Here is a 23337-nt window from a genome sequence, read left to right as displayed (position 1 = left end):
ACATTGGGGAGCATCCTTTCCTCTGGATGCACATGCATAATTTCCATTATTGTTAATGGGAGCTATACATGCATAACACCCATTACTGCTAATGGGAGCTAAGTGCACACACAAGGGTAGAATACAGTGAAATCTGTCTTAGAAAATCACCCAAGAGACTAGCAAAAATCAGTTGCCTGGTAGAGAATGGTTTTAAATTAAAAGCAGAACAGAACTGAGGTTGAAATCACAGGGGAACTATTTAAACTTCAGGGAGCAGTGGGAATTGGCTTCTCTTTTTCTTGCTCTATTCTAGTATCTTGTTTTCCTCATCCATATTCTTGATGAGAACCAATGACCTTGTGATCTCCTAAAGAGATTATCTGGAAATGAATTTCACACCTCCATTGATTCAAATGGTAGGCTTGGGGACCCTTTGGTGGAGGAAGGAATACAGCTACTAGATGATTACATCACAGAACATGCAAAATACAAGTCACATGGTAGCTCTAATGACAGTTAATGAACCAGGATGAAAACAGTAAAGCAATATTATTATGGCAATTTATATCTATCACTCATTAATCCTTAAAAACATCTGTTCTATTATAATGTTATTGTAAAAATCAGTGAAAAATAAACTGGAAAGTGATTTCCATCTACCCAAGTGGCCTTCTGCATTTTTTTTTCAGCATTTCAGGGCATTGGAAACACAAGCTATTCCTACAATATCTTAAAATCATAGGGGTCTGTTCTAGTCCAGTCTCTTCATTTTGCAGGTAAGGAAATTGCAGAGAAATTAAGTGGCTTTTTTTTTTTTTATCAAGGTCACAAAATACTAAAGGGAGATCTTAAATCTGTAATGCAGAATTTTTCTGACTCCAGATCCAGTAGTTTAATGTTCAAAAGCACAGACTCGCAAAGACTTTCATCTTTGTTGGCTTCGCTCTGGTCTCTGGGGAACAAATGCACAGATGGGTGGATGAGTTGTAAACTCCAAAAGGGGCCATTCTGGAACTCTGGAGAGTTGGGGACTGAATGTTCTGCATGTTACTGAAGTAAGTGCATGTTCCAGTTATTTCCAAAAAGAGTTTCAAATACAAATCTCAACAAATGTTTTAAAGAGGCAGAAACAAAAAGTTAGTGGAAGTAGAAGGCGTATTACCTCAGTCTAGAAAAGAGGAATGGAAATACTGTGCTTAAGATGACTTTTCTGTTCCATCTCCCACTTCCCAGTTATCCTTCTTAGACTGTAGTTATAAAAGCACAAGCAATAAAGTCATTCTTGTATCATCGTCACATACGTGACACATGTTATTTTTGTTATGCTTTATACACAGATGTTCCTAGTTGGCCTTGTTTTGGACTCACTCAAAAATGGGCGGGAGCAGACAGAAAATAACATTGGAAATTGGTTACTGTTTGCAAGAACTGTTAATATATAAAAGCCCATGTTACTTCTCATTACTCTTTTTCCGTGGAAGTGGTTCTTTGTTGCTTTGGCTGCCAGACTCCTGCCCCTCATAGGCTTGAAAGGAAATGAAAGACAAAGAATGGGGCATGGAGAATGTAGTGAGAAAAAAGGAAGAGACAGAAATAAAAGAAATAGAGAGAAGGAGAGGAGAGTAGAAGAAGAAAAAAAAGAGCAGAGGAAAAGGCACCATAATACTTGGGATGGCACAGCATAAAACTGGTGTTTTGGAGTCAAAGAAGCAATAATTTTAGAGCCTGAATAATAGAGTTTTATGCTCAGATCAGCCTTTATACGCTATGTGATATTAAATTAAATAAATTTGTGATGTCTCAGTTTCCCCATTTGTCAAAGGAGAATAGAATACTCATTCTATTTCACAGTGTCGTATTAGAAAAAGTAATGCATGAAAATACTTTATAAACCATAAATAAGTGTAATATAGGAATCCGATGATTATGATGGCTTAAAATAGCAAATGATCAGAGACAAAAAGTCACACAAAAGGGACTGCCTTTGTCCAAGTATCCGATCACATTTTTATAGCCTCTGAACATTACCTTAATTTGCAATGAACATCTTCTTCCCATTTCCATCTTTATATTGTAGAAAAGCCACCTAATTAAGAGGAAAAACTTGGTTTAAAAAAACGATATATATATTTATCAGTTTACCCTACAAGGCCCATGGCATATACTTTGACACAACTCTTTCAAAAGCCCCTTGACTAAGAGCAAGGTGGCCTTGGATTAGAAGTCATTTCTGCTGACTCTACAGGAAACCAACTCCAAGGAACAAGACCACAGGCAGGGGAGTACCCAGAGGCCCATGACTCAGCACAGTGGTTGATCCACAGAGCTAGAGAGCTGTTCTGAAGATGCCTAATCCTCACTGTCTCCCCTCAGCTATTTTCAGAAAAAGAAACAGAACCCTGAAATACGTGTTTTTGTTATTTTTGTGACCTATATCACAAACTAGACTTTATTAAATTTCATTGGTGTACATTACATGATATTTTTTGTCTCTTCATTTTTTTCTTCCAGCAAACTGCAATCTCTTTGAGGGCAACTACATGTTGTTGTTAATCTGCAGCCAAGCACAGTATAAGGCATACAGTAGAACTCAATTAATATTTATATGATTTATTTATATGTTTTTATTCACATATTTCAATAGATTAAACATCACATAGACACAAGTCATTTCATACAGGCACAGACTAGCACAGAGTTTATATATTAAAATAGTTGTACAATTGATCATTTGCATAATTAATTAATTCATCTGAGTATAAACAAGTGCCCACCAAGCCAACTAGAAAGAACAATTAATTCTATAACAAGCATGAAGTCATGCCAAATAGTGCTAGAACATCTGATAATCATGTTTATAAAATCTATTTTGTTGTAGCTCTTAAAAAAGACAAAGGAACAATGGTTTAGCCTTCAGACATATATTTGAGAATAATGTCTTCTATGAGGAAAAGTTGATAGTCATTTTGTTTCTAAGAAATACTGTTTCTTACAATTCCATTTAGTGGTTTCTTTTCTTTGATTTGGAGTACACATTTTCCATTAATTAATATTACCATTATATAAACTATGCAACTTCTATTTATTCATCTACTTTAGAGACTTAAGAATAATTATACTTTTTTCTTGCAGGAAGATAGCACTATTGCTTCACTCTTAACTTATCATGGTATAGTGAAGAAAATGTTAGTTAAAAATCAATAGACTTGGGTTTTGGTTCCCAAAACCAAATGTTTTTCAACATGTGACTTGAAAATTTACTAATTTTGCTTATCTTACTGACCCTCCATTTCTTATCTGTAAATGTTTTTTGCAATAATTGAATCAGATAATGTCTGATAGGAATATTGTCTATACACTGCAAAGCACCATAAAAAGGTTCATAGTGATAGTTATAACAACAGATACCATTTGTTTAATAGCTATGGAAAATTAGGAATTGAGCACTCAATATAATTAATCCTTACAATGATTATGCAGTATAGGTGTTATTATTCTCATTTACTGGATGAGGAAAATAAGGCTTAGGGAGATTAATTAGGTAACTTACCTGGGATCAAACAGTGATGAAAGAAAAGAGCCAGAATTTCAAACCAAAATTGGCTGATTCTAGTATTAAAAGAGAAATATGCTACTGGATTTGGGATGAGCTATTCACAGAAACTTGGAGTTAGTTTGCTTTCATTTGTGCCTCTCTCCTTTTTTCATTTCCCTTTTCAATGTACCTTCTAACACCCTTCATTTTTCTAACTTTGGAGGGCCCATCTGGTGCTAATCTGCATTACATTGTTTCTTTCTTTTTTTTTATTTTTTTAATTTATTATTATTATACTTTAAGTTTTAGGGTACATGTGCACAATGTGCAGGTTAGTTACATATGTATACATGTGCCATGCTGGTGCACTGCACCCACTAACTCGTCATCTAGCATTAGGTATATCTCCCAATGCTATCCCTCCCCCCTCCCACCACCCCACAACAGTCCCCAGAGTGTGATGTTCCCCTTCCTGTGTCCACGTGTTCTCATTGTTCAATTCCCACCTATGAGTGAGAATATGTGGTGTTTGGTTTTTTGTTCTTGTGATAGTTTACTGAGAATGATGATTTCCAATTTCATCCATGTCCCTACAAAGGATGTGAACTCATCATTTTTTATGGCTGCATAGTATTCCATGGTGTATATGTGCCATATTTTCTTAATCCAGTCTATCATTGTTGGACATTTGGCTTGGTTCCAAGTCTTTGCTATTGTGAATAATGCCGCAATAAACATATGTGTGCATGTGTCTTTATAGCAGCATGATTTATAGTCCTTTGGGTATATACCCAGTAATGGGATGGCTGGGTCAAATGGTATTTCTAGTTCCAGATCCCTGAGGAATCGCCACACTGACTTCCACAATGATTGAACTAGTTTACAGTCCCACCAACAGTGTAAAAGTGTTCCTATTTCTCCACATCCTCTCCAGCACCTGTTGTTTCCTGACTTTTTAATGATTGCCATTCTAACTGGTGTGAGATGGTATGTCATTGTGGTTTTGATTTGCATTTCCCTGATGGCCAGTGATGGTGAGCATTTTTTCATGTGGTTTTTGGCTGCATAAATGTCTTCTTTTGAGAAGTGTCTGTTCATGTCCTTCGCCCACTTTTTGATGGCGTTGTTTGTTTTTTTCTTGTAAATTTGTTTGAGTTCATTGTAGATGCTGGATATTAGCCCTTTGTCAGATGAGTAGGTTGCGAAAATTTTCTCCCATTTTGTAGGTTGCCTGTTCACTCTGATGGTAGTTTCTTTTGCTGTGCAGAGGCTCTTTAGTTTAATTAGATCCCATTTGTCAATTTTGGCTTTTGTTGCCATTGCTTTTGGTGGTTTAGACATTAAGTCCTTGCCCATGCCTATGTCCTGAATGGTAATGCCTAGGTTTTCTTCTAGGGTTTTTATGGTTTTAGGTCTAACGTTTAAATCTTTAATCCATCTTGAATTGATTTTTGTATAAGGTGTAAGGAAGGGATCCAGTTTCAGCTTTCTACATATGGCTAGCCAGTTTTCCCAGCACCATTTATTAAATAGGGAATCCTTTCCCATTGCTTGTTTTTCTCAGGTTTGTCAAAGATCAGATAGTTGTGATATGTGGCGTTATTTCTGAGGGCTCTGTTCTGTTCCATTGATCTATAACTCTGTTTTGGTACCAGTAACATGCTGTTTTGGTTACTGTAGCCTTGTAGTATAGTTTGAAGTCAGGTAGCGTGATGCCTCCAGCTTCGTTCTTTTGGCTTAGGATTGACTTGGCGATGCAGGCTCTTTTTTGGTTCCATATGAACTTTAAAGTAGTTTTTTCCAATTATGTGAAGAAAGTCATTGGTAGCTTGATGGGGATGGCATTGAATCTATAAGTTACTTGGACAGTATGGCCATTTTCACGATATTGATTCTTCCTACCCATGAGCATGGAATGTTCTTCCATTTGTTTGTATCCTCTTTTATTTCCTTCAGCAGTGGTTTGTAGTTCTCCTTGAAGAGGTCCATCACATCCCCTGTAAGTTGGATTCCTAGGTATTTTATTCTCTTTGAAGCAATTGTGAATGGGAGTTCACTCATGATTTGGCTCTCTGTTTGTCTGTTGTTGGTGTATAAGAAGGCTTGTGATTTTTCTGCATTGATTTTGTATCCTGAGACTTTGCTGAAGTTGCTTATCAGCTTAAGGAGATTTTGGGCTGAGACAATGGGGTTTTCTAGATATACAATCATGTCGTCTGCAAACAGGGACAATTTGACTTCCTCTTTTCCTAATTGAATACCATTTATTTCCTTCTCCTGCCTAACTGCCCTGGCCAGAACTTCCAACACTATGTTGAATAGGAGTGGTGAGAGAGGGCATCCCTGTCTTGTGCCAGTTTTCAAAGGGAATGCTTCCAGTTTTTGCCCATTCAGTATGATATTGGCTGTGGGTTTGTCATAGATAGCTCTTATTATTTTGAGATACGTCCCATCAATACGTAATTTCTTGAGAGTTTTTAGCATGAAGGGTTGTTGAATTTTGTCAAAGGCCTTTTCTGCATCTATTGAGATAATCATGTGGTTTTTGTTTTTGGTTCTGTTTATATGCTGGATTACATTTATTGATTTGCATATATTGAACCAGCCTTGCATCCCAGGGATGAAGCCCACTTGATCATGGTGGATAAGCTTTTTGATGTGCTGCTGGATTCGGTTTGCCAGTACTTTATTGAGGATTTTTGCATCAATGTTCATCAAGGATATTGGTCTAAATTCTCTTTTTTTGTTGTGTCTCTGCCCGGCTTTGGTATCAGGATGATGCTGGCCTCATAAAATGAGTTAGGGATGATTCCCTCTTTTTCTATTGATTGGAATAGTTTCAGAAGGAATGGTACCAGTTCCTCCTTGTGCCTCTCGTAGAATTCGGCTGTGAATCCATCTGGTCCTGGGCTCTTTTTGGTTGGTAAGCTATTGATTATTGCCACAATTTCAGATCCTGTTATTGGTCTATTCAGAGATTCAACTTCTTCCTGGTTTAGTCTTGGCAGGGTGTATGTGTCCAGGAATTTATCCATTTCTTCTAGATTTTCTAGTTTATTTGCATAGAGGTGTTTGTAGTATTCTCTGATGGTAGTTTGTATTTCTGTGGGATCGGTGGTGATATCCCCTTTATCATTTTTTATTGCGTCTATCTGATTCTTCTCTCTTTTTTTCTTTATTAGTCTTGCTAGCGGTCTATCAATTTTGTCGATCCTTTCAAAAAACCAGCTCCTGGATTCATTAATTTTTTGAAGGGTTTTTTGTGTCTCTATTTCCTTCAGTTCTGCTCTGATTTTAGTTATTTCTTGCCTTCTGCTAGCTTTTGAATGTGTTTGCTCTTGCTTTTCTAGTTCTTTTAATTGTGATGTTAGGGTGTCAATTTTGGATCTTTTCTGCCTTCTCTTGTGGGCATTTAGTGCTATAAATTTCCCTCTACACACTGCTTTGAATGTGTCCCAGAGATTCTGGTATGTTGTGTCTTTGTTCTCATTGGTTTTAAAGAACATCTTTATTTCTGCCTTCATTTCGTTATGTACTCAGTAGTCATTCAGGAGCAGGTTGTTCAGTTTCCATGTAGTTGAGCGGTTTTGAGTGAGATTCTTAATCCTGAGTTCTAGTTTGATTGCACTGTGGTCTGAGAGATAGTTTGTTATAATTTCTGTTCTTTTACATTTGCTGAGGAGAGCTTTACTTCCAAGTATGTGGTCAATTTTGGAATAGGTGTGGTGTGGTGCTGAAAAAAATGTATATTCTGTTTATTTGGGGTGAAGAGTTCTGTAGATGTCTATTAGGTCTGCTTGGTGCAGAGCTGAGTTCAATTCCTGGGTATCCTTGTTGACTTTCTGTCTCGTTGATCTGTCTAATGTTGACAGTGGGGTGTTAAAGTCTCCCATTATTAATGTGTGGGAGTCTAAGTCTCTTTGTAGGTCGCTCAGGACTTGCTTTATGAATCTGGGTGCTCCTGTATTGGGTGCATATATATTTAGGATAGTTATCTCTTCTTCTTGAATTGATCCCTTTACCATTATGTAATGGCCTTCTTTGTCTCTTTTGATCTTTGTTGGTTTAAAGTCTCTTTTATCAGAGACTAGGATTGCAACCCCTGCCTTTTTTTGTTTTCCATTTGCTTGGTAGATCTTCCTCCATCCTTTTATTTTGAGCCTATGTGTGTCTCTGCACGTGAGATGGCTTTCCTGAATACAGCACACTGATGGGTCTTGACTCTTTATCCAATTTGCCAGTCTGTGTCTTTTAATTGGAGCATTTAGTCTGTTTACATTTAAAGTTAATATTGTTATGTGTGAATTTGATCCTGTCATTATGATGTTAGCTGGTTATTTTGCTCGTTAGTTCATGCAGTTTCTTCCTAGTCTCGATGGTCTTTACATTTTGGCATGATTTTGCAGCGGCTGGTACCGGTTTTTCCTTTCCATGTTTAGTGCTTCCTTCAGGAGCTCTTTTAGGGCAGGCCTGGTGGTGACAAAATCTCTCAGCATTTGCTTGTCTGTAAAGGATTTTATTTCTCCTTCACTTATGAAGCTTAGTTTGGCTGGATATGAAATTCTGGGTTGAAAATTCTTTTCTGTAAGAATGTTGAATATTGGCCCCCACTCTCTTCTGGCTTGTAGAGTTTCTGCCGAGAGATCCGCTGTTAGTCTGATGGGCTTCCCTTTGTGGGTAACCCGACCTTTCTCTCTGGCTGCCCTTAACATTTTTTCCTTCATTTCAACTTTGGTGAATCTGACAATTATGTGTCTTGGAGTTGCTCTTCTCGAGGAGTATCTTTGTGGAGTTCTCTGTATTTCCTGAATCTGAATGTTGGCCTGCCTTGCTAGATTGGGGAAGTTCTCCTGGATGATATCCTGCAGAGTGTTTTCCAACTTGGTTCCATTCTCCCCGTCACTTTCAGGTACACCAATCAGACGTAGATTTGGTCTTTTCACTAGTCCCATATTTCTTGAAGGCTTTGCTCATTTCTTTTTATTCTTTTTTCTCTAAACTTCCCTTCTCACTTCATTTCATTCACTTCATCTTCCATCGCTGATACCCTTTCTTCCAGTTGATCGCATCGGCTCCTGAGGCTTCTGCATTCTTCAGGTAGTTCTCGAGCCTTGGTTTTCAGCTCCATCAGCTCCTTTAAGCACTTCTCTGTATTGGTTATTCTAGTTATACATTCTTCTAAACTTTTTTCAAAGTTTTCAACTTCTTTGCCTTTGGTTTGAATTTCCTCCCGTAGCTCAGAGTAATTTGATCGTCTGAAGCCTTCTTCTCTCAGCTCGTCAAAGTCATTCTCCGTCCAGCTTTGTTCCGTTGCTGGTGAGGAACTGCGTTCCTTTGGAGGAGGAGAGGCGCTCTGCTTTTTAGAGTTTCCAGTTTTTCTGCTCTGTTTTTTCCCCATCTTTGTGGTTTTATCTACTTTTGGTCTTTGATGATGGTGATGTACAGATGGGTTTTTGGTGTGGATGTCCTTTCTGTTAGTTAGTTTTCCTTCTAACAGACAGGACCCTCAGCTGCAGGTGTGTTGGAGTACCCAGCCATGTGAGGTGTCAGTCTGCCCCTGCTGGGGGGTGCCTCCCAGTTAGGCTGCTCGGGGGTCAGGGGTCAGGGACCCACTTGAGGAGGCAGTCTGCCCATTCTCAGATCTCCAGCTGCGTGCTGGGAGAACCACTGCTCTCTTCAAAGCTCAGATGGAAATGCAGAAATCACCCATCTTCTGCGTCGCTCACGCTGGGAGCTGTAGACCGGAGCTGTTCCTTTTCGGCCATCTTAGCTCCTCCCTTACATTGTTTCTTAGCTTTTTGGGTTTACCTTCACTTTTCCTCATCTGATATATAGAATTTATGTAATGCTGTTGATCATCTGATCCACTTTAGTTTTATTAGATATTAAAGAGGACACACAGAGATAGAAGCAGTATCTTAGAAGACAAGAGGTGAGGAGAGACTTCAGATCCTTGAGCAAAGTTTTCCAAGTATTTTTGAGTAGACACTATATGGCATAAAATGACAAAAGGCCACAATAAGAAGATAAGATTACTGGTTGGTATTTTTTAAAGACAAACATTTTCAAGCTGAGACTGTATGTCACGTTTTCAAATTACTTTCCCCAGATCTTTTGATACTGTCCCCATCATTTGTCATGTGATGTGGATTAGTATGGTTTTGGGAAATAAGCTGATGTGTAAAAACAAAGAAATTGTTTCAGTGAGAAAGGAGGAGTTTTAACCTATATAAATCTTCATCAACATTTTCTTCTTGAAAGGGGCCTTTAAAATGGTGATGTCTAGTGAACAGTAACATTATCAATGGGGAAAACTGACATAATCCATGGCTCTTGATATAATATACATTGAAGGATGTAATGTCATCGATGTAATATTAACTAATTATGAAGAAACAATCAACCAAATCTGAATTGAAGGTCATTCTATAGAAAAACTGGTTTTGACTCTTCAAAAATCATAATGTCATGAAAGCACCCTCCACCCTCCTAAAAGGGCAGAGGACTGAATTAAAATATACTAAAGACTAAAAGAGACATGCAGCTATAATCAGTACATTATTTCAGTAGAGAGGTTCTTCCAAAAAATTAAAAATAGAAATACCATATGATACAGTAATCTCACTTCTGGGTATATAGCCAAAGGAAATAAAATCACTATCTCAACAAAATAGCTACCCAAATACCCAAAGGAAAAGAAGCCATTATGTGAAAAAACTCAGGCACATGCATGTTTATAGCAGCATAATCCACAATTGCAAAAATATGGAACCAACCTAAGTGCCCATCAACCAACGAGTGGATAAAGAAAATATGGTATATATACACCATGGAATACTACTTCGCCATAAAATGGAACTAAATAATGGCCTTTGCAGCAACTTGGATGGAATTGGAGACCATTATTCTAAGTGAAGTAACTTAGGAATGGAGAATCAAATATTGTATGTTCTCACTTATAAGTGGAAGTTAAGCTCCGAGGATGCAAAGGCATGAGAATTATAGACTGGACTTTGGGGACTCAGGGGGAAAAGTGGGAAGTGGAGGGTGAGGATTAAGACTACATTTTGGGTACAGTGTACACTGCTCAGGTGATAAGTGCAATAAAATTTCAGAAATCACCACTAAATAACTTATCCATGTAACCAAAAACCACTGGCTCCCCAAAAGCTATTGAAATAAAAAAATTTTTTTTAAATAGCTGCACTCACATGTTCACTGCTGCATTATTCACCAATAGTCAAGATATGGAGACAGCCTAAATATTTATAAGTAAATGAATGAATAAGGAAAATTTGGTATGTATATATGTAGGCATGTACATACAAATATATGTATATGCACACACACACACACACAAGAACAGTATTCAGCCTTAAATATGAAGTAAATTCTAACATTTGTGACAATGTAGATGAACCTGGAGGACATTATGCTAGGTGAAATGAGCCAGACACAGGAAGACAAATGCTGTATAATCTCGCTTATATATGGAATCTAAAAAAGTCGAACTCATAGAAACAGAGAGTAGAAGAGTAGTTACCAGCAGTAGCTGGAGTGAGGAGGGGAAGAGGAGATTTTAGTGAAAGTACAAACTTGCAGTTCTAACATGAATAAGTTCTGGATACCTAATTTACAGCATGATGACCACAGTTAATAGTAATATATTTTATGCTCAAAATGTGCTAAGAGAGTAGATCACACACACAGGTAACTATGTGAAGTGATGGATATGTAAATTAGCTTGTGTGGTAATCATTACATAATGTATATGCATAGCAAAACATCATTTTGTACACCTTGAATATACACAATTTTTGTTTGCTAATTTTACCTCAATTAGGGTGAAAAAAAATGGGGCAAAAAGAAGGTTGAAACTGTCTATGTACTGTAAAACTATGTGCTGACATGGAAAAAAGACTATGATTTAGTCAAAAAACAGATAAACAATTTTTGAAAAAATTATACACACACATATTTGTACTTTAGAAAATAGAAATTATTGGAAACAGTGATGGGTCAAATGAATCAGGATGCAAGATTAGTTGTCAATATACTTAAAAACAGTATCATTCTTTTGCTTTTGATCATCTTTTGTAATGTTTTTAAATAATATGAAACTGGATCCTAAGCTATTACAGGTTGAGATGAGGTATAGTGTGCAGGATGTTTGTTAAAGTGTGCTATGGGATTAACAACCTCAGAATGGAGGGTGAAGTGGTAGGGTTGTGGGCCCAATGACGGGTCCAGACAACCATAATAGGAACTCGAGTTAAAATGGCTCCTTAGAGCTGTCACACACTGTGTCGAAATAACAATCTCGTAATACTCTTGCCTCAATCTGTCTTTGGATACCGGCTGTCCTAAGAAGAATGTAGCCTTGGGAGAGGGGCTGTCTACAACTAAAGCAATTCTTGCAGGAGCTGACCCCAAAGTCTGTCTTCAGATGGCATTCCCAGCAGCTCAGCAACAAGTACTTTCTTGAAGGAGGGTCTGGATGGTGCATCTTCATCTTCATATGTAATTTATTTTCTTTTGATTCAGCAGTAACATATTCCTTTAAAAAATGTTTAGTTGAATTTGGGATTCTAATTTCAACTGCTCAGTAAGAAAATGAATAGGTTTACATAAGCTCTATCTTCTACATTCATAGCCCTGCTGCTACACATGGCTGTACATCAGTTCTTAAATTCTATTAATCTTTCTTCATCTTTCTTAGTGCCAGCTATGGATGGAATACTGTCCCCCTAAAATTTATATGTTGAAGCCCTAACAACCAATGTAACTATATTTGGAGATAGTGTCATTAGAAGGTAATTAGGAAGATGGTGTCATTAGAAGGTCATAGGATGGAACCCTAATCCAATAGGACTGATGTCTTTATAGAAAGAGGAAGAGAGAGATGCACACTCAGAGAAAAGGCCGCATGGGGACAAAAGTGGCTGTGTGCAAGCTGGAAAGAAAGCCTTCACCAGAGTTCAAACCCTGCCCAGAACCTTGATCATGGACTTTCCAGGCTTTAGAACTAGGAGAAAACAAATTTCTATAATTTAAGCCACGAAGTCTGTGATGTTTTATTATGGCAGCCTGAGCTGACTGCCCAAAATTGAAGGGCAGATCCAAAATTTGCCAAATAGACCACGTGATTGATAGTTCTCAAACTGACATGATTTTGTACATGGCACAGTGGAATTCTAGTAACAATGCGTGATATAGCGAAGTCATATCATATTCAGCTTCCTCCATCCCTTTCTTTGTGTCCCTAACCAGTCACATGATTGTTCTGTCTAAACTTTTACTTAAAATTGTTTAATTCTATATTTTTTTCTGTTTAAAAAAGTCATATGTTATGGAAAAGAAATATGTAATGGAAAAAAATTAGGTACTTTAGAATTGGGCTTAATTTGTTGTTTGTTTTTATAATGCTGGTGACATTATGAAGACACTAGACTTTCCTAAGATTCTGTGATCCAGATTGGTTCATTTTTCTTTACCTTACTCTGGGATTATAGGAAAACCATAGTTACTAAGAAAGGGTTCTGGTAACCGTAATATTTACCTCTTGATCAGGCTGTTTGATGTCTTTTCTTCAGAAAGAAAAGGGTGCTTTAGAAAAAAATCCATCCAATCTCACTTTTTCTTTTTTGGCCATAATTGAAAAATGGCTAGCCAAAGCATGAGCACGGGCAAGGTATGTCTTTAATGTTCTGTGTAGTGAATACCAACTATCTTTTGTGGGATTAAATCTATGGTTTGAGGTTTATTATCTATCACTGGGCCTTGAGGAGGAGAGCAAACAGCGCAAAGAATAAATTGGTAGATGTCATTAATGAAGGGTATAAAGCAAAAGTATGTCCAAATGCAAGTTAATGTATTATATCCCTAGGCAGAAATTGGAATATGTGCTTTTTCAGATGTAACATTTTAATTGGCCTACCTGGTAGAAGGTTAAATAAAATGTACACTAAACCTCATTACTACTCAATTGTCAAATAGCCTCCCTGCAACATGATTAAAACTAGCAGACTGAGTGGGTGCAACCCAGAATTATGAGAGAACTTAAAGTTGTCTTTAGGAGCACTTTGCAACACAGAATTTTAAGTGGTCCCATTAGACCAACTACGCTCTTGCTATTTTATCCAGGAGTTTTAGGTACAGAGCTGGGTATTTAAAAATTCCCTTTCCATATAATAATCCATTTCAAATGCCCTTCTGGAAATTATCTGTGATAGTACATTTCTAATAAAATGCCACTGTTGAATGAAACCTAACCACCTGGCAAGAAAACAAACTATTATATCTTAGCATGATATTTGCAGATTTTTCTGGCATAAAGTGGTTCAGAAAACAACAGACTGTCTTTGCTACTCCCCAGCCCCCCGAACAAAATCTATTAAAGATAACCTCATTCAGAACAAAGATAGATGTGTGAAGATGAACACAATGGAATATCAGAAGCCTTTGAAATTCCAAAAAAATAAAGATGAGCTCAAAATTTGTCATGATTACATTTTTTTAAATCATCTTCTATGCTATAAGGAATAGATTTTCCACATTTTTTTCTGTATTTTTGCATGCTGACTGCCTAGCTACCGGCTGTTCCAACCATTATCTCTCCAAATAACCAGCAAAAAGAAATACCACAACATGTGTCACTGTGCTTCTGGAATTCCTTCTGTCAACAAATATTTATTGAGCCTCTTCTTTGTGACAAATTCACTAAGGATGGCCCAGTGAAAATAAAACTTCAGCCCTTCAGGAACTCACAATCTAGTGGAGGAGAGCCCAAGGAAGCAAATACTTGCAATCCAGTGCAATAAGAGCTACGATAGTGACAATATGAGGTGCAACAGAAACACACCAGAGGGATATCTAACTTAGTCTTAAAGGGAGAGACAAGTTAAAAGTTCACAAAGGAAGTAATGTTTAAGTTGAAACCTAAAGTAGAGAACAGGATCAAAGAAAGAAAATGGCAACAGGAAGTGCAATGATTGGGAAGTAAGACCAGGTATGTCAAATTGGTGGAAATTCAGGTAATTTGATTAACTTACAGCTTGGTTTTCAAGGTAAAGTGAGAGGCATTGTGGAAAATAAAGCAGGAAAGCTAAGTTTACAAGGAAGTGAAAGACTTGCAAACTGCCTTACAGACTTCAAATTTTATTTTAAAGTCAACATGGAAGGATTTAAGTAGGGAAGTCACAGGATCATATTAGCATTTTGGAAAAATCACTCTGGCTAAGCTAAAGATATGAAGAATGGGTTGAATTGAGATAAGCCTGAATCAAGGTAAGGCCAAATTATGGGTAATGAAAAGCCTATTGCAGCAACCCAGGGGCAGTAGAATGAAGAAAAGGAGATGAATTTGAAAAATACTTAGGAAGTACTTTTGACAGGACTTAGTGATGATTGTTTTAGGTAGGAAATGAGAAAGACTGAAGAGTCAAAGATGAGAATCAAGTTTCTGACATAAAAAGTTGAATATATCAGATAAGTAAACAATGATGGGAGGGAAAGGGTATGAATTATGGATAAATAGCTTGAAAATGAGATTTGCAGTTCCACTTGAACCGAGAGATAAGAGAACAAGGAAGAACTGATTAAATGCAAGAAGTTTGTAGGTATAGTGGCAACAAGCTTGTAGGTTGAGTTAATTTCAGTCTAATGATTTCTCTCTCCTTTAGAATGTCAGAGCCAAAGTTGTCTGCTGAGAAGCAGAGACAGGAAGTATGGAGGTTTAAAGAGAATAGATAAATTTTGAAAAAGCTGATTTTCAGAATGGAATAAAAAGTGATGAGAAACTTACAGAAGAGATGTTAGGCAGTACTGATCCTTTTAAAACATGAGTTCATAAAATTAATTAGCATTAATGGCAATTAAATGACATTAATTGTCAGAGTTGTGTGATTTTTTTAAAGTAATGCTCAGTTTCCTAGGTAGGAAGGAGGCAATAAATAAATAAATAAATAAATAAATAAATAAAACCAAATTGATCTAAAGTTGAAGGTTTTCCAGGTAGCCAAGACATAAGAAAACAGGACAAGGGATTTGAGGATGACAAGGACAACACCAAAAATGTTTGAAGACAGTGGGGTTTTGGCTGAGTAAAGCAGGAAATGACAACCAGAGGAGGCTGACGGGAAAATAAAAGGATCAAAGGATTAGAGATACCAAGAACATGAGGGACGAATCTAGCGACAATCATAGAGGGAGATGCAAAGATAGGAAAAGAAAAGAGGAAAAATGCAGTCAGAGACTAGAATGTTTTAAATTAATGCCTCAGAAACAGTTGGAAGTTCAAGATGATGATAAGCAGGTGATGACATGCTCTAAGGAGTATGTTAATAAAGGTAAAGATCCCTGAAGGTGAGGGAGTGCAGGCACAGACAGACTGCAATAGACATACTGTCCTTGTGTACATTGAAATGATTCAGGAAGGGGAGAAAACTGAGGTGAAGAAAAAGACCATTAAGCCACCAACATTTTATTCAAAGAATGAAGGGAAGTCACCAGCATCAGATGATGATACTGACAATTTGGGAGGAAGGATGCAGTGAGCCTTTAGAAATGGAGATTTGGTATGAAAGTGAAAGAAGAATTGTCTGGAATAAAAATTGAGGCATGAAAACTACGTGTGCAACACTAATCCTGTGACATGTCAGGGTCAGGATGTAGAGGGAAATAGCCCTTTCTTCTATAAATACATCTCACTCCCCTTCTCAGCAAGAAGACCACCCTCCATGGGCTTTATTAAAATTTAATCACCATTTTGAACTGGGCTTATTGTAATTATGTTTGTAGACAATAAATCCTTTTCTCTCTCTTTTCAAAACTAGCTGGGTTTTTACGGCATGAATATTTGGGACCCTACACTCCAGCTGCTGCACATCAATCTTGCATGAGCACTAACCAAAAAAGTGCATGTGCTGGCAGAAGGTGAGGACCACACTGGGTTTTCTCATCCAGGGATGGTCACCCTGATGTGTAGTCAATCAACAGGAAAGGTGTGCATTTTGCAAAGACCCTCCAAGAGGTCACTTTCCTAGGTGTGATCAATCTCCCCCATGCTGATCATGTTACAGCGATTACCACTCTATTCTAACAGCTTCTTCTCCAGGGAGAAACAAAACTTTGTCTGTGAATGTGTAGTATGGTCTGTCTTGTCAGGTTAAATTACCTTGTAACATAACTCACTGTAAATTCACCTCATAAGTAAAAACCAATTGGAGATTTTAAAACACTATCCAAAAACATTCAATCTGGAGGTGGAATTACGTTCTGCAATTGCAAATGAACCATGCCAGTGACCCTTACCATCAGCAAAAGAGTCAGCACTTCTTCAATTCAGCGCATAAGGAAAAGAGGTCTGTCATGCTTTATGGCCTAAGAAGTTCTTGCTGCGCCAAAAAAATACTGTCTGTTCTTATGACCTTTGAAGAGATAGATACAAAAAAAAAACTAACATGTAAAGAGCACCTCATATATGTTATGCTAATGCTTCACACATTTTTTTATAAGACCGGAATAAGTACTGCCTTCTCTGGGAAGCCTTCCCAGGCCACCTCCCAAATCAAAGGGTGATGGATAATTTTCTGTGCTAAGTTAACTGGGCTATGAGGTGCTCAGTTGTTTGGTTAGACAACATTCTGGATGTGTCAATGAGGGTATTTCTAAATCAGATTAACATTTGAATTGTAGACTAAATAATGTAGATTGTCCTCTCCAATGTGGACGGGCCTCATCCAATCTATTGAAGGACTAAATAGAACAAAATGGCTGAGCAAGAAAGCATTTTTCTTTCTCTGCCAGTCTTGAAGTAGGAATGTTCAATGCTGGCACGCTGGACTTGGACTCAGCCTGGAACTCATCAGCTCTCCTGGTCCTTAGGCCTTTGGATTTGAATTGGAACTATACCATGGGCTCTCCTGGGTCTCCAGTTTCCCAACTGCAAATCTTGGGACTTCTCAGCCTCCATAATCTCATGAGCCAATTCCTTATTTTACCCCGACTAATACGTAGTTTAGTGCTTATCTGTTGTCTTTCTCTGCTGCGTGCCACATAATTACCATCTCCTTTATCTTGCTGTGTACTATTTTTTCTCCTCGACTGTAAGCTATTTGAGTGAGTCTTACTTATTTTAGTATTGTTAGTGCCTAGAACAGTATCTAGCACATAAGGGTGCTAAATGAATGGGATTAATTAGATATTTAATGCCCATAATATAGTCAACATCATTACCATTTTTGTGAGGAATCTAAAGTTCAGGGTCATCAAATATTTGATATAAAGCCACATAGTAAGTGGTAGAGTTGAGTTTTGTAATTGGGAGTGGCTGACTCCGAAATTCCCACAGATTTTTTTTATATCACTTCCCTTCTGCTTCCCCTTTCAAACAAAATTTCTGAGTAATCCAGTTTAGTTCTAGAATTAATTCCACTAGAATATGAGAAAGGCAGTGAATGGGATTTAAAAAATTTGGCTCTAGAGGCAGATTGCTTGGGTTCAAATCCTAGATCCTCTGCTTATAGAACAACTCTAAACTAATTACCTCTCTTCCCAATGTTTCAATGTGTTCCCTTATCCACAAGTATTACCTATGTATATCAGTAAGCTATTCCCACAATAATGCTGCCAAACAAGCCACTCTAATGTATTAGCTTAAAGAGTAATCATTCTCGTGGATCTGCAAATAGGCTAGGGTCCAACTGATCCACATTAGGCTTGACTTGGAGGTGGGAGCCATCTTCTGCTTCCAGATGCAGCAGCTGGAGCATCTCTTGTTTCTACTGCAAGCCTGTAGCCAATCAAGGCAGCTATGCATTGAATATCCTTCCTTCTTTCAGGACAGTTTTCTCTCTGCCACCCAGGCTGGAGTGCAGTGGGGAGATCTCAGCTTACTGCAACCTCTGCCTCCCGGGTTCAAGCGATTCTCCTGTTTCAGCCTCCTGAGTAGCTGGGATTACAAGTGCATGCCACCACGCCCGGCTAATTTTTGCATTTTTAGTAGAGACGGGGTTTTGCCATGTTGGCCAGACTGGTCTTGAACTCCTGACCTCAAGTGATCTGCCCACCTCGACCTCCCAACGTGCTGGGATTACAGGCGTGAGCCACCGCACCTGGCCCATATAAGCTTCTTAAGGCCTATGTTTGGGGCTGGCACTCTGGCCTTTCCACCCACATGTAATTGGGCAAAGTAGGTGACACGGCCATGTAAAGAGGTGGAGAAATATGCTCCTTCCACAGTGAGACTGTGGCAAGGAAGTGGTGAAAAACCAGACAGGAAGGAATTAAGAACTGGGCCAAAATTTCAGCCTACTACCCTGTCTCTGAGAGTTGTTGTGGGAATGTAATAAGTTAATACATGTATCACACAAAACAGAGACTAGCACTATTGAGAGGTGAAAAATGTTCTGGATATTCTACCTGTATATTAAAAAATTGCCTTATGGGATGTCCCTGGCTCTGTCACTAATTATCTGTAAGATTGTGATAAGTCATAGGATCACCTTGTGTCCTTTTGTTTTTACCTACCAGTCAAGTTTGTAATAGCTTGATTCCTTTCTTCATTGTATTACTCAAAGGATCCAATAACATATAATAAGTGATCATGTTTCAAAAAGAATAAAACATCCTCAGAATGCAAATTGTAATATACATGGCTAATTCTAAATAACCATTTGGTTAAGGTCAGTAAATTGCTCCAATTTTAAGTGATAGGAAGCCATAGTTCTTATTTTATAGATGAGGTAAATGCTTCAAGGAACTAAAGTACTCCTTTTCTGGCCATAAATCCAAATATTGGCTTAGAAGAAATAGAATTAATGTTTCCTGTCTTCTAGGTGTTAACTGGGTCAGAAACCGAACACTGATGCTAACTGTTAAGGTTTATTATCCTTCAGCATGAGGTGGTTCACATTCTGATTCTAGGGGTTCAGGGTAGTAAGGAAATCTCCAGGCAAGTACGTAATCTCAAACACTCATTCAGTTAACAAATCTGCTAAGTGCCAGTTTTCAGGGACTTTCAGCTGTGGGGTTAAAGACTGTGAGGGCTACCATACATCTCTGAGAACAAGCCTAAATACCACAAGTCATGAAATTAATTATCTCAGTTTCATGGGTTTCCAGATGCTAATGTGCAATATCCTATTTATTCTCCATCCCCATTGATGAGACAAAAGAAGAGGAAAAATATAATTATCAAAAAAACCACACCCAGAGAGAATGGGGTGGGTAGGCAGGAGCAGGATTCTGAGCAGGAAAAAAAAGACAGCATATACTTTCAATTCTCTAAACCCAGGGCTGAGGCTCCAAAGTTCTGCAAGCTCTCTCTTTTTCCTGTATACTGTTGTAAGACACAGATAACTGACTGCTCACGAACTTTCTAGGAAATTCATTTTAGATGATCATTAGAGTCAGGGCAGAATCTTCAGGGATGGTGGAGACTACTGAGGCAGGGCTGAAAGGGCTCGCATCAATAGCCTTGAGGGCAAACAAGCACCAAGCATGGTGTCAGAATACAATACAGTAAGTGCTATGCCATGGGAACATAAGAAGAGAGTCCTCAAGTGGGAGGCTTCATGGAGGACACAGAATATCTGCTGAGATTTAAAGATGAGTAGGAGTTTGGCCAAGCAGATCTAAGGCATTTCAAGCAAAGGCAACAGGTGCAAAGGCATAGCACATGAGAAAACCGAATCTATTTGGAAAAGTATTACCATAGCCTATTCATGAGCAGTATTTATGTGCAATTTAGAAAGCAACTGAAGGGCCCTGTTACCTCTCTCCCTTGAGCCTAGGATCTGGAGGAGTTATCTTAGAGTCTGAACATACAAAGCCAGGCCTACAAAAAATAATGACATACAATGTGATACATGTTAAAATGGAAATATATGCGAAAACTGGTGGCATAGAGAAAAGAGGTCTTTAGGGATGCCTGGGGAACCAGGGATGCCTTCAGGTATTATTTCACACTCTTGCAGAACCAGTGTTCCTTTTCTTACTCAGTATTATTGCTAAATTTGGCCCAATAAATCACATTCCTCTTCACTCATGGAAACTTTTCTCTCCATGGCCCTCCATCTAGCTTCCATTGGGCTTTCCGTCACCCTGTTATTTCACCCTGTTAAATATCTCCAAAGCCCATTTCCTAAGGACGGGTTTCAAGGTCTTTCCTGTGGAGTTCCTAAAACTTGGAAATTAGGAAATTCAGCTAGATAACAGGAAGAAAATCACCTTAATACACTGATCACCATTTATTTTTATCAAGAGTGATTTATTAGTCACACACTGCATGGTAGACATTGCTGTAGGCACCAGGGATACAATGAGCATAACAAATATCTCCATTTTTTATGGTGCATACAGGCCAATGTCTCAGCACCTCAGCTCCAGTCCTATGATCCAGTTGGAAATCATATTTTTTAAATGGTATAATAGAAATACAATGTTAAGAGCTGTGGGAGTTATTAGAAGGTTTTGAAAGAAAGATCTACTTACTGGAGAGCCACCATTTAGGACAAATGTCTAAATAACATTGCCAATGAGATACGAGCATGTGGATTCGTGTATTAAAAATTGTTCTTCTCTCCTTCTTTTCTCTATTCCTTCCTTTCAACTTGTTTGTTTTTACCTAATTCCCATTCATGAAAATAAGATTTGGATTAAGATCTGTGATGATTTCCACATCTTACCGTAAAATAGCACTGTTTGAATTCCTAATCCTTCTGCTGCTTCTTGAAGAGTGGAGTCTACAATTTACCTTTTGGTGGCTAATTCTAGGCATCTGTTTAGCCCCGGAACCTGTGTCAATCATTAAAAGAGCTTTAACTTATTGCTATAAAAAGTGGTTGGAATCCATTTTATTTCCCAAGCATATCACCCACCCCAGTTACACACAAAGAGTGGACTCACTGATGATTCTATTAAGTTTAGTCATTATATATAAATGGGGTCACATCATATGCATATTTAAGTTGCACATAATTAACTTCAGTCCCATGGAGAAAGAGAAAGAGTTAAACAGTACAGAAAATTCCACTCGTCATTCCACTCATGGAGCACAAGCCCTACTCTGAATGTGAAAACAAGAGTTATGGTGTTGCCTCAGTCTCAGGTCTCATGTGTCTCTCAAAAAAATGAGTGCGATTCCAATGTTTAAAGATAGCATTTTTTTCGTACAACATTGCCCCCATATGCAAGCCTACTTCATCTGATGCCCAACTGCAGAAACAGTGCTCTATTCCCGGGCTGAAAATAAACCTGGAAGTTGGATCTATTGAGAAACTGTATGTCAGCCTCCAAAATGACATCTTTTTAATGTATTTCCAAAGGTAATTTTGCTTTATGTAACATTTGCCTTATAATCTGTCTTTAAGACTTAACCTCAGCGTAAAATATTATTTCATTCTGCTACCAAACTGAGATTGGTCCAAGATCTTTGAAGCTTATCTCTCTGACCTGTACAGATGCTGTCAGCATCCTCCCATATGCTCTCTGCATTCACCACTACTGTACATACCTTCTAACACAAACTGCCAGCATCTGCAGCTCTACCTGAGGGCTCCCCTCTGGCCACCAAGGTCTGCTTTGCTCATCTGTGGGGCAGGCCAGAAATGCTGAGAAATTAGTGAATACTAGAAACAGCCCATAACAATGACTGACAGGAAGACGGCAGATGACAGGCTAACTCTCAGGTGCATATTTCACAGTGTACCCCAGAGTTCCCTATCGGGATGAAGGTAGAGTTTCCCAGAGTGATAAGTTGCTTGATGAAACCATGTATTGGCTTTCTTTCCTCCCCTTTCCCTTTCCTAGTATTTTCTGGGATCCCAACTAAGAAAATTTCCCTTGAATCTTTGTCTCAAGAGGAAGATTACTTCTGGAGGAATGCAAACTACAACACACAGAGTCCTTGCCCCAAGCATCAGACTAAAAACAAAAAAAAAATATCAAAATTGGGTGAAATGGGTTCAGTCCCTTCATCATGGCTTTTTCTTCACATAGCTAGAGCAAATAAGACTATGGTTTTATATAACCTTTGGTTTATATAATCTGTATAACATTTCCTAACACCTATGCCTAGAAAAAAAAAACCTGCTGTAGGTGTATAAAATTTGAACCTAACTAAATAAAATCAATTCTAATTTGATACCTGATACCATTTTCCCATAGGAAAAGTCTGGAACTTACTTGGGTGTTTTCTGTGCCTAGGGAGATACTTGGACCTTTCAACAGGAACACTGCTAACTATTCTGTCCCTTGTATCTGAAAGTTTAAAAATTCGTGTTTCCAGTGTGTTGGTCCACAGGTATTTCTTTCAAACAACTGCTGGTAGAATTCACTTGCATGAACTAATTTATTTTAAATTATATGCTTAGAACTTTCCCTGGGGTTAGACACCTTTAAATTTGACGCGTACATTCACACAAACCAAAATAGACAAAATAGTAAAATCCCATATTATATGAAGAAAGTCATTACTGTTATTCCTAGGTATGAGAAATCTAGGATTCCATAAAATTTCACTCTCAAGAAGATAGGTATCTTCAGAATTACCTTCCTAGAATAAAGCTTGAGGCTGAAAGACATAAGAAACCATTGCATTTTTAGGGCAAACAGAAATATAATACTGTCCTATAATATTATTAAATGTCATCTCAGAGACTGTGGATTTTTATCGTAAAGGAAAAAGAGATTTAAGAGGTATATTTCTCAGTGGTGCTTTTGGCCATTTTCCTCTAAGGGTGCATTTTATTGAAGATTTTCCTGTGGAAATTTAAGATATTAAGATTGCATGTAGACCTTCACCTCAAAGGGTTGTAGTG

General features: G+C 38.0%; 1 long non-coding RNA gene across 1 annotated transcript in view; it reads right to left on the bottom strand.

Annotated features, from left to right (window-relative positions):
- Positions 1 to 23337, bottom strand: part of ZRANB2-DT (ZRANB2 divergent transcript) — a 156400-nt gene that overhangs the window by 12599 nt on the left and 120464 nt on the right. Inside the window, exon 3 of the long non-coding RNA NR_046217.1 lies at positions 2011 to 2068. This is a non-coding gene — a long non-coding RNA (ZRANB2 divergent transcript). The remainder of the gene's footprint in view (positions 1 to 2010; positions 2069 to 23337) is intronic.

The sequence above is a fragment of the Homo sapiens genome, chromosome 1, assembly GCF_000001405.40.
Source record: "Homo sapiens chromosome 1, GRCh38.p14 Primary Assembly".
Classification (NCBI taxonomy): domain Eukaryota; kingdom Metazoa; phylum Chordata; class Mammalia; order Primates; family Hominidae; genus Homo; species Homo sapiens.
The sequence above is the reverse complement of the archived record's forward strand: the minus strand, read 5'-3'. Positions and strand labels throughout refer to the sequence as shown.